Here is a 15659-nt window from a genome sequence, read left to right as displayed (position 1 = left end):
ACAGTGTCTAACACAAAAGATATGCATCCCTGATGTACAGTAACTCTTCGCACTCTATTATCTAGCTGACATTCTAACTGAGCCTTTTATAGTCTCTGTAAGAATAAGCTTTCTCCAGATCCCATATAAGATGTGTCTAGGACTCCTATTATATTATTAAAAATCAAATATTAATTGTTCTGAATTCACATTGAATTTTCACAAATCTTTTATGTAACCTCATAATCTAACATACCAAACTTTTATTAAAGATAAAAGTATTTTATATAACAATAAATAGACCCTTCTCTATTCTTTAATCTCATGCATTTTGTTGCTAAATCTTTCATTGCTAGATGTATGTATACTTTTGCCAATATCTAAAACTTCTGCCTTTCCATTGATGTCATGTCACACTCTTCACAAGTCTATTCTCACTGTTAAAGAATAAAACCATTCAGTTTGTTAATATGTTGTGTTATATTTCGATTTTTCAAATTGAATACACATTTTCAAAAATTCTGTATTGCTAATCAGAATTTTATAACTAAATTTGAATTTACTGTTTTCACACAGTTATAAAGAAATGCCTTACAATCTTTCTCAGAATGTTTCATTATAATAACAATAATAGTTTATAAGAAGGAATAAAGAAGTCAAGCACACAGAAAACTTTTTAACCTATTAGTCTCTCCCATTCTCTTTCAAAACTCATGAAATAACTGGCTTGAATGGCAGTATAATTGCTTATAATTGCATAATAAACTTCATTTGTTATATTTTTTGGCTCTAACTTTTCCTTTAGTAAAGTGTGATTTCCTTCATCTCTTGAGACTATTTTTAAAACATAAACTTCAATTACCTGTTTTTTTAAAGAACAATAAAAAATGTATTGATGCAGTTATAAATCTTGCTATACCAAAGTTTTAATCAGCGCTCTCCAGAGAAACAGAACCAATAGGAGATACAAACACACACACCAACCCATAAAAAGAGAGAAAGAAAGAGGAGAGAGAGTGAGATGATAAGGATTCAGTTTAAGTGATTATGGGGGCTGAGAAGGCCCACTATCTGCTGTCTGTAAGCTGCAGACCGGGGAAAGTCTATTGTGTAGTTCCAGTTCAAGTTCAAAGACCTGAGAGCATGGAGAACCAATGATGTAAGTTCTAGCTCAAGGGTAGGAAAAGACCAATGTCCCACACTAAAAACATTCAGTAGAGAGAGCAAATTGTCCCCTATCCCACATTTTGTTCTATTCAGACCCTCAGCCAATTGAATGATTCTCCTTTATGCTGGGGAGAGCAATCTTCACTCAGTCTACTAATTCAAATACTAATCTCATCCAGAAAACACCCTCAGAGACACATTCAGTGTAATGTTTAATCAAATGTCTGGGTAAAGTTGTCACCTAAAATTAACCATCACAGAACCCCTTGAAAAGATAGCATTAATAACCATTCATTGGATCCTTGATGGTGATGGCACAGGGATGAGACTAGAAGAAGACTGAAGATATTATAATCACATATTATCTTATTGATGTATTTTGTAGGATATCTAATGTGGATTTTAGTTTTAGCTCTCTTTATTGTCATGTGGTATTGAGCAAGGTAAAATTTAACAGATTTTAGGCAAAGTGGCCAATAAGATGTGACTGCCTAATTCACATAACTTTTATAAATATCAAATTAGATTAGTGATCGCATCATGGAACTGCTGAAATATATTTTATTATATTGTTTTTACTTGATAGTCAAATACTTATATGTTCATTAAAATGAGAACATGGTTATGATTATTCATCGCCCTACAACTAAACAACATTCAATAAATTTTAGACATTAAAAATTATTCAGTTCAACCAAACTTTTGATAAATTGTATAACCTCATCTTGTTACCTGAGCCACCACACAACCTCATTAAAATACTGTGCAACAGTTTCTGTGTTAACACACTCCCAAATAACCCCCTTGAGCAACAAAAGGAGAAGCTTGAACTCACTAAAATTAAAGAGGGTATAATTAGGCAATGGGTAACCTATAAGCAGAGGAATATTCAGGCCTAGGCTGGCTTCTGATTAATTATACAAGTAATTTTCCAGCATACCTCCTACTAGAGCTGTCTAATCATGCCTGCTAGTAAGGGATATTATCAAAACAACACATCTCTATTACGTATTAGGCCATGATGCATTATTAGGACAGTTAAGACCACAGGATCATTATCTCATTGTGAAGAATAGTTCTATAATGACTGAGTTTGGTGCTCTTGTAAAAACTGTAGAAGGCAGTGGTTTAAGAAACCAAAAAAGTTTAAAAAGTCTACAAATTTTTAGCTATTTAAAGAAATTATAGCTAATGAATATTTAATTATCCAGGTGTTATAAATAAAGTTTTGGTGCCGCAAAAGAAATAGCACTCGAATATAAAATTGTCTTTTTTAATTCTCAGCAAGGCAAGTTACTTCTATAGAAGGGTGCGCCCTTACAGATGGAGCAATGGTGAGCACACACTTGGACAAGGGAGGGGTTCTCATCCCTGACGCCCGTGGCGCCTGCTGCTGTGTCGTTCCCCTGTTGGCTAGGGTTAGACTGCACAGGCTAAACTAATTCCGACTAATTTAAAGAGAGTGATGGGGTGAGTGGTTTGGTGGGAAAAATGGTTATGACAGAGCAGATAATCGGAATGACTCAGGGTGGAGCAGGTAATGAGAATGAGTCAGGGTGGAGCAGCTAATCAGAATTAGTCAGGGTGGAGCAGGTAATGGGAATGAGTCATGGTGGAGCAGGTAATGGGAATAAGTCAGGGTGGAGCAGGTAATGGGAATGAGTCAGGGTGGAGCAGGTAAAGGGAATGAGTCAGGGTGGAGCAGGTAATGGGAATGAGTCAGGGTGGAGCAGGTGATTGAAATGAGTCAGGGTGGAGCAGGTGATTGAAATGAGTCAGAGTGGAGCAGGTAATGGGAATGAGTCAGGGTGGAGCAGGTAATGGGAATGAGTCAGGGTGGAGCAGGTAAAGGGAATGAGTCAGGGTGGAGCAGGTAATGGGAATGAGTCAGGGTGGAGCAGGTGATTGAAATGAGTCAGGGTGGAGCAGGTGATTGAAATGAGTCAGGGTGGAGCAGGTGATTGAAATGAGTCAGGGTGGAGCAGGTAATCGAAAAAGGTTGCTTTATGAGGAAGTTAAGTTTTTTTTGTTTTGTTTTGTTTTGTTTTGAGACAGAGTCTTGCTCTGTTGCCCAGGCTGGGGTGCAGTGGTGCAATCTCACTCACTGCAAGCTCCACCTCCCTGGTTCAGGAAGTTAAGTTTAAAAGTAGAAGGCAAAGAATTGAACATACTGACATACTGATTCTTTGAAAAGAAATTTAGAACTCATATCTAACACAGATAATTATTTTTCCATTTATTTCCAGCTTTGAAATTATGTAGAAATATTTTGACACTTCAAATATTTCACATTCTTGAATGTGGTTGATTGAAATCTGCTCTCTCAGGAAGACCTGTTATTTCTTTTTCTGGATCTTTTTCTTCACTGCACGAAAAGCCCCCAGCTTGTGGAAATGAAACAATGCCCTATCCTAGCCCATTAGTGAATACTTGACTCAGAACAGACTGAGAATGAATTATCTGGACAAGATGGGTGACAAAATATTCAAATAGACACAATAAACAAAATACTTTAACAAACAGAATAAGCCTGGCTAGAGAAATCAGAGACTCAGAATAGGATACTTTACTATTTGGAGCATGTTATTCATAGAGTATTCTACAAAACAAAAACAAAAAACTAAGTTCTTCAAAATATTCATATTTGTTCTGCTAATAAAGAGTTCCTGGTTAAACCTTGGAAGACACTGGATTTAATAACATTAACTAAATTTTCTTTATGCAAATACCTTTAATATAATGAGACTTTAATTTCTAAAGAGTAAGATCTGATATTAAAAGTTCTCCCTGATTATTTACTGCTAAACTATTTACCGTCTGTAGAATGTCAGTATTCTAGAAAACACAGTTTAAAAATGGGTAGAACAAAGATGAAAATGTCCAAGGTACGTTCATTGTACCAGAACACTACACTTCATTAGCTCTAAGAACTTCAGCAACACTTTTTCTCATAAAATGACTTCAACCCTTTCTCCATCAAAACACATACACACACACACACAATACACACACATACACACCCATATGCCTCACCATTTCAACTGAAGCTAAAATTGACTCTCCAGGAATATATTTTTTCAATCATTCCACCTTGTGGCATATATCTCAGCACTCATGGATTCCTAAGTTTTCAATAATTATTATTTTTTCATTACTCCTCTTAATTGTAATTAACTTTAAACTCTAGGGCCGGAATATGGCTTATGTCTTTAATAGCTTAAAACTTCACACCTAGTGGATTGGAATTAAAGTTTGAATGGCACAAGGAAAAGTGGACAAAATTAATATGATTAGTTTTTGAGGAGAGATACAGGATACGACGGAAATAACATTTGTTCAGGAAGTGAGACTTAATATAAGCTTTCTAGCATATAGCTGTGTGAACTGAGTAATGTAGTTAAACCCATAGAACATCGGTTATATCTTCTGATATTTATAAAAGGAATGTTAGATTAGGATTTTGGAGCTGAAAGGAATTTGGAAATTTTATTATTCCTGGTCTAATACTTTGTTTCCTCCTTTACCCCCATCCATCCCTATACAAAAACATAATTCCTGCCGAGGATCTACCTAACTTCATATAAACTGTAATGGGTGGAGAATTACTTAATCCAGAGTAGCTCAAAATTGTGATGCCTTACACAATCTTTAAATCCATTTTCACCTCTGAAATTCCATGATATATTAATTTGATTGTGTGGATAGATTATTGCACTTTGAGCAATGAAAAAATTGGAACCAATATCAAATTCAGTTAATGGAGATAGATATTTGGCAGTCACCACTCCAGATGGCCTGCCGCTGCCATCACGCAGCTGCAGCAGGGATGCCCGCTATGGCTGCATGTTCCATGGAGTCTGCAGGAGCCCCCTCCCTTCCGTGTTGGGAAGGGAGCTCCCTGGGTGCTGCTGTAGCTGCCCAAACTAGGGCTGTAGACCTGGATCTCCAGCTCCATGGAGCAGGCAGGGACCCTGCCCTCCTCGGTGGGGCTGCAACCATCCAAGTTATGGCTGCGGATCGGAGCCTCCCCGTGCCTTTGGGGTGTCGCAGGAGCGGGAGCAGGCAGGATCCCTGCCCTCCCGTTTGCAGCTGCAGCCGCCCAATCCACAGCGCAGACCCAAGCCTCCTGCTCCACAGAGCAGGCAGGAGCCCTGTCTTGGGCACAGCTGCAGCCATCCAAACCGCCGCTGAAGACTCAGGCATCCCTGCACTCTTGGGGGCCTGCGAAGGCCCCCCGACCCTCACAGGCTCAGAAGTACCTTATCCTGCTGCCTGGCTTCTCCCTGCTGTCAGTGCCTGCTCTGATCTGGGAGCGGGGTTGAGGCCGAGCCCAGGTGATGCACAGTCCAGCTAGGTGTGAGTAAGCTCAGGGCAGCACTGACACGCCAATCCCCGTAAACCTCAGTCCTCTCCAGAATTTGGGCCCAAGGAACATGAGAGGGGAAGCTGAAGGAGTCTGAGGGAGGCTAGACGCTGGCCTGCAAGTGCTCCTTGGTTCAAGCAGGCTGGGTGTCATGGATGGCAGTGAGAGGCAGACAGGCTCCTGGGCAGAAGGGGGCGGGTTCCCAGGAAAGCCCCACCTTCAGGCCAGGGAGGGCCAGAAGGCTGGGGGCTGGACTGCCAGTCAGGGGTCCCCAGCGGGATCTTTTGCCCTTTCCAGGCCCTCCCATGGCTGCCCATGCACACAGTTCCTCCCCTCTGAGGTCTATAAAAGCCCTGAGCTCAGCCACAGCAGTGCAGAAGAGGGAGAGATGATGGGAGGAGCAGTTGCAGAGAGGAGTTACCCTCTCTGCTGATAGCAGTAAATGACAGAACGACCAGCAGTAGAGAGGAACCACCCTCTCAGCTGAGAGCTTCAGAGACCTTCAGAGATGTTGGGACTACCAGCTGCAGAGAGTAGCCACCCTTTCCAGGCCTCCTCTCTGCTAACTGCAGAGAGGATGGGAGGACCTGCTTGCAGAGAGTAGCCACCCACTCCAGGGCCTCTACTCTGCTGAGAGCTGAACACTCGATGGGATGACTTGCCTGCACAGAGGACCTACCCCTGCGGGTCTCCTCTGAACTGTTCTAACACTCAATAAACTCCTGTTCATCTTGCTCACTCTCCACTTGTCTGTGTACCTCATTCTTCCTGGATGCAGGACAAGAACTCAGGCAAAGGAGCCACCGGCCACAGAGGTTTTCAGCCAGAAAAGTAACACCCCAAAGATCCTGTAACAAAAGCTAAAATAATACAAGCACCATAAGAATACAGACATAAGAATGCTGGAAAATGCTCACCTGGTCAACAAGTGCTGATCACAAAAGTGCTTTAAATATCATTACTATATATAATTTTATTAAGCAAATAAAAGAGTTGCGCTCTAAAGGGATTTTCGTATTTCTTTTTTTTTTCTTTTTTTTTTTCTTTCCCAGCAAGAAGACAGTAAGGAAAAACAAAGAGCTCACTCTTGATTCAATGATCTGGTGAAAAATGTTGTAGTTAATTCTCATTCTCCAACCTCCAATAGCAAGAGCAGAGTGGCACTATAAGAAGACTACACACTGTATACAGAATTGGAATCTTGATTAATCATCCTGTTTATTCTAATGATGTATACAGATATGAGTCAACATGTGAATTTTCCTATAACATAAATAAAAGAAATCACATCATAGCTTGTGATGAAAATAGATAGGAACGTAAGGGCCTGACTGTAAAGGAGGTACCTTCTTAAGGTGGTTTACCTGAATACAACATATAGGGTGCTTTTAAATAATTTTAAACAATGAGTGATATGATTATATATTTCTAAATGTTAGAAAATATACCCACCCAGGCAGCAGTTTGAAAAATATGAGGGAAACCAGAAGAGAGACTAGAGAAATTGACTGTAGAATAGCAGCAGCAGGGCAAATGTTCAAGACCATTAGGAACATGATGGGTCAGTGTCGATGAGGGTCTAAATAGAGTGGTGATGGCAGTAGTAATGAAGTCATGCCACTTAAACTTTTGCTAACACTCACACTCTAGCCTGCCATCTCCCTCTTTGCAGTAACTGTATGTGCTCTCACGGTGCTCCTAAAAGCTGAGTGGTTTAGCCTGCATATGGCTAGTTAGGTCTGCAACAATTTTCCTCAGTATATTTAGTTTGGAATTTTAAATTCTCATTATCGTATATGCCCAGTCCCCACACCATGGATGCTTTAATACCGGCATGGCAGAAAGCCACACTTTTAAAGGTTAAGGCTCTTCCTACATGACCCCCACTGGAGTTTGGCTGGTAAGAGGCAATAGAAATCTGCTTAACTCTCAATTGCTTATGTTTAATTGTATGAGCAAATCCATTTCTTGAAGGATGAGTCTTGAGTGCCAGCAAGATTCACATACATTTGAGGGAAACATTTAGTCCCAGAATATCCCATGTTAATACTTTAAAAGTTAACACCGATTTTATGTAGCATAATTTGATGTGGTGAAGAATATCAAATGAGGAGAATATTTTAACAGTATAACATTGAAAATATAATGGGCCCACATTCCTTCAGCAGATGAGAGGAGGCTTGTAAAATTATACTTCTAAGAAAACAAACACAATGTTTCATTCCTGCTATTATCAGCCTCCCTTCATTTTACTTCTCTTGCTTCTCTAACCCCAGAGCATTCTGAGAGATTTCAAAACAAAAAGAAACAATGCTTAAAATAGTTGGGCAGTTCTGGGATCCATCCAAATATGATGATTAATTAATATAAAAGAGCCATAGCGGCCAGGCGCGGTGGCTCATGCCTGTAATCCCAGCACTTTGGGAGGCCCAGGCGAGCAGATCAGGAGGTCAGGAAATCGAGACCATCCTGGCTAACATGGTGAAACCCTGTCTGTACTAAAAAAATACAAAAAAATTAGCCGGGCGTGGTGGCGGGCGCCTGTAGTCCCAGCTACTCAGGAGGCTGAGGCAGGAGAATGGCGTGAACCCGGGAGGCGGAGCTTGCAGTGAGTGGAGAATGCGCCACTGCACTCCGGCCTGGGCGACAGAGCAAGACTCTGTCTCAAAAAAAAAAAAAAGCCATAGTTCCAAGGCTTAAGTGGCATGTTTAACATTCCAGTGGGGAAACTGATATGCTAATAAAGATTTAGGAACAGTGTTTTTTGTTTGCTTAAGATATCACAGTGCCTATGACTTTATTATCCATGTAACAGAGGTTTTCTTTAGTGGAAAAAGTAGAATTGAGACTATGGTTACATCCTGCAATGTTGAAAGTTTCTTCTTTTACTTTTACTTTTATTTAAACCAAATAATCAGGCCGGATAGTATGTTTGAGAGTTAAAATGGTGGAATAGCTAGATTATTTTAACCAGATAGAAAATCTTACTAATCAAAATACAGTGACTTTTAAAAGAAACCATCCATTCTTTTGGCGATGAGTTAAATAGCATATTGAGAAGAAATGTGGATTTTTTTTTTCCCATTTGTGGCACTTAAGATTGTATGGTATAATGTGGTTTACATTTTTTAAGGGTCATGCAGGACCTAAGTGTCCTTAAATTTTTTCTAATAAAATTTACTTCTGTTTGGCCAGGCGCAGCGGCTCATACCTGTAATCCCAGCATTTTGGGAGGCAGAGGTGGGTAGATCACCTGAGGTCAGGAGTTTGAGACCAGCCTGGCCAACACGGTGAAACCTTGTCTCTACTGAAAATACAGAAAATTAGCCGGGCGTGGTGGCAGGCGCCTGTAATCCCAGCTACTTGGGAGGCTGAGACAGCAGAATAGCTTGAATCCAGGAGGTTGAGGTTGCAGTGAGCCAAGATTGCGCCATTGCACTCCAGCCTGGGCAACAAGAGCAAAACTCTGTCTCCAAAAAAAAAAAAAAAAAAAAAAATTATTTCTGTTTTATACTTCACATGTCAGGTAAAAATAATAATGATTTGCAAATGTTAAAACACAAATGTATATGACCTACTAACCAAAATAAAAGCATTAGAAAAAGAAACTATTCTCAGCATGATGAAATAGACCAGTGTTTTATATGTTTCATAGTCAAGATATATGAGTAATTAATTATGTCATTACATCATTATGTCTTAGGTTACTTTGTTTCTACATGGACTATGAACAGTTTATTTACCCAGAAATTGTGGTAGTTTATTTGCCAATAATCTAACTTCTAGGAACATAGACAATATTATGCATATTTATTGTATAATAAAGCATTTGCCTGGTCTTTGTCCTGGGTTCCTGGGACACAGTTTCTAAATCTTTGAAACTTCCCAAGTGGTAAAGTGCCTTTGTTATTCATGATGAGTCCCTGCGATCATACCTGAGTTTATGCTAATGATATGACTCATAGTCGGCCCCTAGATAGTTTAAGGATAGGGCTGGCCATGTGGGAAAGAGCAATCACATGATTAGAGGGTTAGAGCTTTGAGCCACTTAATATCAGTCTGACCTCTGAGGAGGAAAGGGAGACTAAATATTGAGTTCAACACCATAGTCAGCAATTCAACCAATCATGTCTATGTTATAAAATCTCATAAAACCTTGAAACTTCTAGTTGGGTTGAGCTTCCTGGTTGCTGATACATACTGATAGTCTGGGAAGGTAACACATCTTGCAGAGATGGATACTTTGAATTTGGGACTCTGCCAGACTTCATCCTATGCCTCTCTTCATTTGACTGCTCCTGACTTCTATCCTTTGCAACATGTAATTGTAAGTAGAGCACTTTCCCACATTCTGTGACTCATTCTAGTGAATTACTAAACCTGAAAGTAGTGGGAATTGCCAAATTTATAACCTGTTAATGAGAAGTATGGTCACATTTGGAACCCCTAGAACTTGTAGTTGGTAGCTGAAGTGAGGGGACTCAGTCTTAGGGAGGACTTAGCCATTAACCTGGGAATTCTGTTCTAATTCTGGGTTGTTAGTGTCAGTGCTGCTATACAATGTCCTACCACAGCTAAGGAGGAAACTGTCTGAAATCTATGTAAAGCCCATGTCCGGCCAGCATCAATATATGATGGAGCAGAGCAGGAAACAACCAAACAAAAAAAGAAATCCTCTACTAATGGCCCTATTGACAGTAGGAACCTTAGAATCTCAATGCCAAAAGGTAGCATAAGAGATGACTTGCTGGATTTCTATATAAGCATGACATCAATACTCTGTCACCTTTAACAGGCTATAGATGCCCTGATTCAAACTGCACATATAACACTGGAAATATATGTATAGCTGCATCAAGCTGTAGTCCAGAAATGTTTATCTCCATGTCACAGTTAGTAACAATTAGCCTTGGTAAATGGAGTCTTTAATAGGTTGCAAGTATTCTGGGCCTGTACTCAATCCAAGATGAAAGAAATCAAGACATTGCCAGGTGCAGTGGCTCAGGCCTGTAATCTTAGCACTTTGGGAGGTCAAGGTGGAAGGATTGCTAGGGGTCAAGAGTTTGAGACCAGCCTAGGCGGCATAACAAGACCCCATCTCTACAACACCAGCAAAAAATTATCCAGGCTTGGTGACTCACACCTGTTGTCCCAGCTACTCAGGAGTGGAGGTGGGAGGATCACTTGAGCTGGCGGGGGAGGGGGGGGTCAAATCTGCAGTGAGCTGAGATCACACCACCGCACTCCAGCCTGGGTGATAGAGTAAGACCTTATCTCAAAACAAAACAAAACAAAGAATAGAAAGAGAAAACAAAGAAATCAAGACAAATCAGAAGTATGTGATGGGTTTTCAGAGATGAGGCCTTACAGAGATAATTAGGGAAAGATAAAGTCATGAGGGTAGGGCTCTTACAATGGGATTAGTGCCTACCTTTGTAAATTTGGACTGTTATAACAAGGATAACATAGACTGGTTGCTTAAATTACAGAAATTTATTTCTCAGTTCTGGAGGATAGAAAGTCTGAGGTCAGGGTGTCAGCATGGTCAGGTTATGGTGAAGGCACTGCTTCTGGTTTGTATATGGCTGTCTTCCTGATATTTCGTCATATGGTAGAATGAGAGAAATAGTCAAGTTAACTCATATCTCCTCTAAAAGGATACTACTCCCATCATGCATGTTCTACTCTTGTGACCTAAATACTTTCCATAGGACCCATCTTCAAATACCATCACAGTAGAGATTAGGGTTTCAACATATAAATTTCAAATGGACATGATCATTGAGTCTATAGCATTTGTCCCTGGCCCTCCATAATTAATGTCCTTCCCACACAACAAATCCATTAATTCCATTCCAACAGCCCCAAAGTCTTAACTCAATCCAGCCTCTACTTTAAAGTCTAGTCTCCTCTAAATCTCATCTAAATCAGACATGGATGAGACTGTATGTATGATTCATCCTGGTGCAAAATTTCTCTCCAGTTGTGAATCTATGAAACTAAACATGTTGTGTGCTGCCAAGTACAATTGTTCTACAGGCATAAGATAGACATTCTCATGCTCAGGGGAGAAATAGGAAAGAAGAGAGGGATGAGGGGTCCAAAGTATCTCCAAAACTTAGCAAGGCAAATCTTTAACAAGGCAACTTCCTTCCCATTAAGCACGTGGAAAACAAAAACAATCCTCTTTGTTGAGATGTTGTTCAGTCTGGGCCCACCAATGAGGCGACATCACCTCAATGGTTCTGTGGGGTGCAGCCCACACCACTGCTCCCTTCCAGGTCCCCACCCACACTCTGGCTCCAGTATTCTCTTATGGCAGTCCAAGCAGACTAATACATTAGATTAAGAAAAGTTTTCCCATTTCTTCTTAGACATGAACCTTGAGATTAGGTAGGAGAAAGAGGTTTTATAATGATTCAGACACTTTAAAAACATTCTATACCCTCTATTGTCTATGGCATCTAGCAAATGTCCCATATTCTCCATAATAAATCAGATTGTTTTGATTAAAGATAAGTAAAAATGCCAACAGATAAGATGCACATCAGCATCTCTGATGAAGTGATGCTTGAACTAAAATGTGAAAGACAAGAGGGAAGCATACTGAAATCAGAGGGAACCGCAGGTGCAGAGGCCCTGGAACAAATGGGAGTATGTCATCCAGAACACATAGGCCGTATTAAGGAGATTTGATTTCATCCTTTGAACTATAACAAGCCCCCAAAAGGTTTGATGCAAGGAGATGACTTGATCAGATTTGTGTCTTGAGAAGATCAATCTGGTGATCTTCTTCAGTGTAGAGAAAGCGGGAGTCAAGAGAGAACTTAGATGTAGAAAGATAAGGTTACCATATGTTCCAGCTTGTCCAGAATAGCCTCAGCACAAGCCCGTTGCCCTAGAGTAATTATTAATAGCGAACTTGTAGCAGAAGCTCAGACTTCAATGTTTTCTTTGCTCTAGATGACTGCCAACTTCCAGGTGTGCGTCTTTGCATCACTATGCCTGAAGGCTTTTTTTCTAAAAGTACTGAAGATCACTGTATGCTACAAGGATGGGAGGCCAGAAGCGCTAAGAAAAAACAACCCCTCCATATTAGCCCTCAAACAATAACTGACAGACATTAATAAACTAGTACTCAAACAATTATATTATCCTGAAAAACAATCTGTACATTTTCCCAGTGTGATTACGTGACCTCAGTCACCACAGGTAGTGTTTTAGAGACATCTTCTCATCCTTGCATTTGCTTTTCATGCCTATATTCATTTTTTTTTGAATAGCTGACATTAGCTACTTAAAATTGAGCCCTTATCTCAGAATCTGCATCTTAGGAAATCCAAAATCAAACAATTCAAATTAAAAGTGATTAGAAAGTGATTTCTAGGAGAAGTTTCTGGAACTGAATCACTAACCAGAAAGAAGTAAATGGAATGGTAATGATCTCTGGCTTTTTATAGCATAATAGTTACTAGGAATCTCACTTGTGAAATAAGAACTGCAATGTAGAAAAAGCCAAGAAAATATTTGTAAAACCATGACTCGCCAAGCCCTGGAGACGTTAAGTTAGAAGCCATAACGGAGAGATTAGTGCCACCTCAGAGCCTTAAAGGATGCAGGATTGGTGGTCACCTTTCTATTTAATTCACCTGTCTGGCCCTTTCAAAACATGACTGAATGATGGCCTTTTATGGGGACTGTCATAAACTTAACTGTCAGCCTCATTCGGAGCTGCTATATTGAGTATATTTAATGTACCATAATTGATCTTCAAAATAGATAATAATAGACAATAACAATTTATGACAGGAATTGATGAGAACACATTCACCAGATCAATAGCTTCATAGCGAGCACCAGAAGCTATTGATCTGGCAAATGTGGTATTTTCAATCCTTATTATGAGGAATAATTTGAAGCAATTCACAAAGAATAGACACTGGGAAACAGTCATGAGACAAACGATGCATTTATGGTCTTGTTCCAAAGCTATATTATACTTGTATTATTCTTCACACAGGACTTTGATTAGACATTCTACAGAACAATAAGCTGGTCTCACTATATTGATAATATTCTATGAATTAAGCATGGAGAACAAAAAGTAGATCATACTCTAGGTGCTCTAGTGAGGCACATATGCACCAGATTGTAGAAGATAAAACCTAAAAAGCTTCAGATTCCTGCCACATGGGTAAAACTTTTAAGGCTCTATTAGAGTGAAAAATTCTGACACACCTCTCCCAGACAAAGAACACATATTCTACCTCACACTTTGGATCCTTTCATGTTGCAGAGGCAGTACATCATTTGAAAATAATGCTCTAGCTAATTTATCAGTTGAGTCAGAGGATTGCTAATTGTGATGAAGGGCCATATCAAGAAAGGTCACTGCAGCAGTACACAGACCTGCTACTTATGTAATATCATCCAAATGATCCTATGTTGCTAGGGGCATTTGTAGTCAATAACATAAGCATGTAGAATATTTGTCAAGTCCCAATATTGAAGGCTGCAATAGAGATTCTAGTGTTCTAGAGGCATGGCGTATCTTCTGTAGCAAGAAACTGTTCATAAGTTGAAAAATTTCTCTTATCATGCTCTTAGCCTTAGCAGAGAATGAATGCCTAACCACGGGAATCAAATTACTTTGCATTCAGAGTGCTCATGAATTGGGTATTGTCAGACCCAACAGTAGAAATCCATCATATGATGGGGATTATTCATTCAGTAGAAGGTGCAAGTAAGACTATAGGGCACATGTAATTTACATAAAACCATGACCCAGCTTATAATAAGTAGGCTCAATGCATTGATCATAGCTAAAAATGTTTATCATATTTTATCCTCATATTTTCAAATGGCTTTGGAAGGTAGGTAAAATGTTTACAGTGGCCACAGTTTTAAGTGGTCTTCAATTTATGTAAAGACATGTTGTCTTGAGCAATGAAAAGTGATTAGCTGGTTGTTTGAGGGCCTGGAAAGAACAAAGTTAAATGACTGGAAGGAAAGAAACGAATCTAGGGACTTATCTGTGAGAATGCCAGGAAGCATGAGGATCATTCATTCATTCCTGCAATCATGGCTATTACATGCACTGTGTAAAAACTGGAATGGCCAAGAGTAAAGATTGGCCTCTGCTGAAAGAGTTCTACTGCCCAACTTGTTCAGTGTCTTTTGTGGGCTTACCCTTTCAGCAGAAGGAGGAAGGCTATGCATGAGCCTAACATCATTGGCTCCTTCTCATTCAGGCTCATCTAGTTAATGAGATTGCATGATTGACTTTTTAGTAACAAAACCCAACACTAAACTTTTGTATGCTATCCTCCCTTAAAGAAACCACCCATCCACATAGTAAAGTTCATTTTATTAAATCCTTCCATCCTGGAGGAGGCAACAATTCATCTATACACTGTTTCACCCTAGCTCTCTATGCTAGGGAACAAAAAGTAGTTTACCATGATGGAATCCCACATGACAATGGAAAAGCACTTCATAAATAAGGAGATATGATCATGGGCAAATGACCATGGTATCCACTGATCCTACCACATACTCCACAATCTAGGAATGCCTATCCTGATAGAATGTTGAGATTATCTTTTAAAAGCACAGCTAATGTATATTCTTAGAAGTGATACCCTGTATGCGGGGTTGGGGTGGTACTCTGAACCAATGAACATTATATGATGCTTCATGCTGATAGGTGTTTGTTTATAACTTGGCATAAAAACCAAGAAATGAAAGGAGTGACCTGTCTCAACATTACTCTCAATAATCCACTTAAAAATGTTGTCCTTTTTGTCTTGACAAATTTAGGCTTTGTTGAAACAGAGGTTTTTGTTCCCAGGAGAAGCACACTTTTACCTTTAGATAGTAAGAGTTCCCTTAAACATAAAGTTATAACTTGGTTTGGTTATGTTGGATTTATATGCCAGTGCATTAGCAGGCAAAGAAAAGAGTAACTATACTGGCAAGGATGATTTACTCTGATTATCATTAAGTCTTGAGATTGCAACTATATAATAAGGTGGGTGGAATATATCTGGAACCAGGTGATTGACTGTGGCATTGCCTGGTGCTTTAATATCCAGTAATAACTGTAAAGGAACAATTACAGTAATTGTGATTCATTGGTGTTAATCTGGGG

General features: G+C 39.6%; 1 pseudogene, besides 1 other annotated feature; it reads left to right on the top strand.

Annotated features, from left to right (window-relative positions):
- The window catches only part of LOC105378800 (endogenous retrovirus group K member 21 Gag polyprotein-like), a 213368-nt pseudogene that overhangs the window by 155953 nt on the left and 41756 nt on the right, over window positions 1–15659 (top strand).
- Window positions 2070–3269: an enhancer, noted in NCBI's record as "BRD4-independent group 4 enhancer chr1:73648977-73650176 (GRCh37/hg19 assembly coordinates)". NCBI's record gives its function as "activates an origin of replication core promoter dependent on BRD2, P300/CBP, MED14 and CDK7 cofactors, and independent of BRD4, by STARR-seq in HCT116 cells {active_cell/tissue: HCT116}" and the evidence as "EXISTENCE:reporter gene assay evidence [ECO:0000049][PMID:35650434]".

This window comes from Homo sapiens, chromosome 1, assembly GCF_000001405.40.
Source record: "Homo sapiens chromosome 1, GRCh38.p14 Primary Assembly".
Classification (NCBI taxonomy): Eukaryota; Metazoa; Chordata; class Mammalia; order Primates; family Hominidae; genus Homo; species Homo sapiens.
Note: the sequence above shows the minus strand (reverse complement) of the source record. Positions and strands in the feature narration are given on the sequence as shown.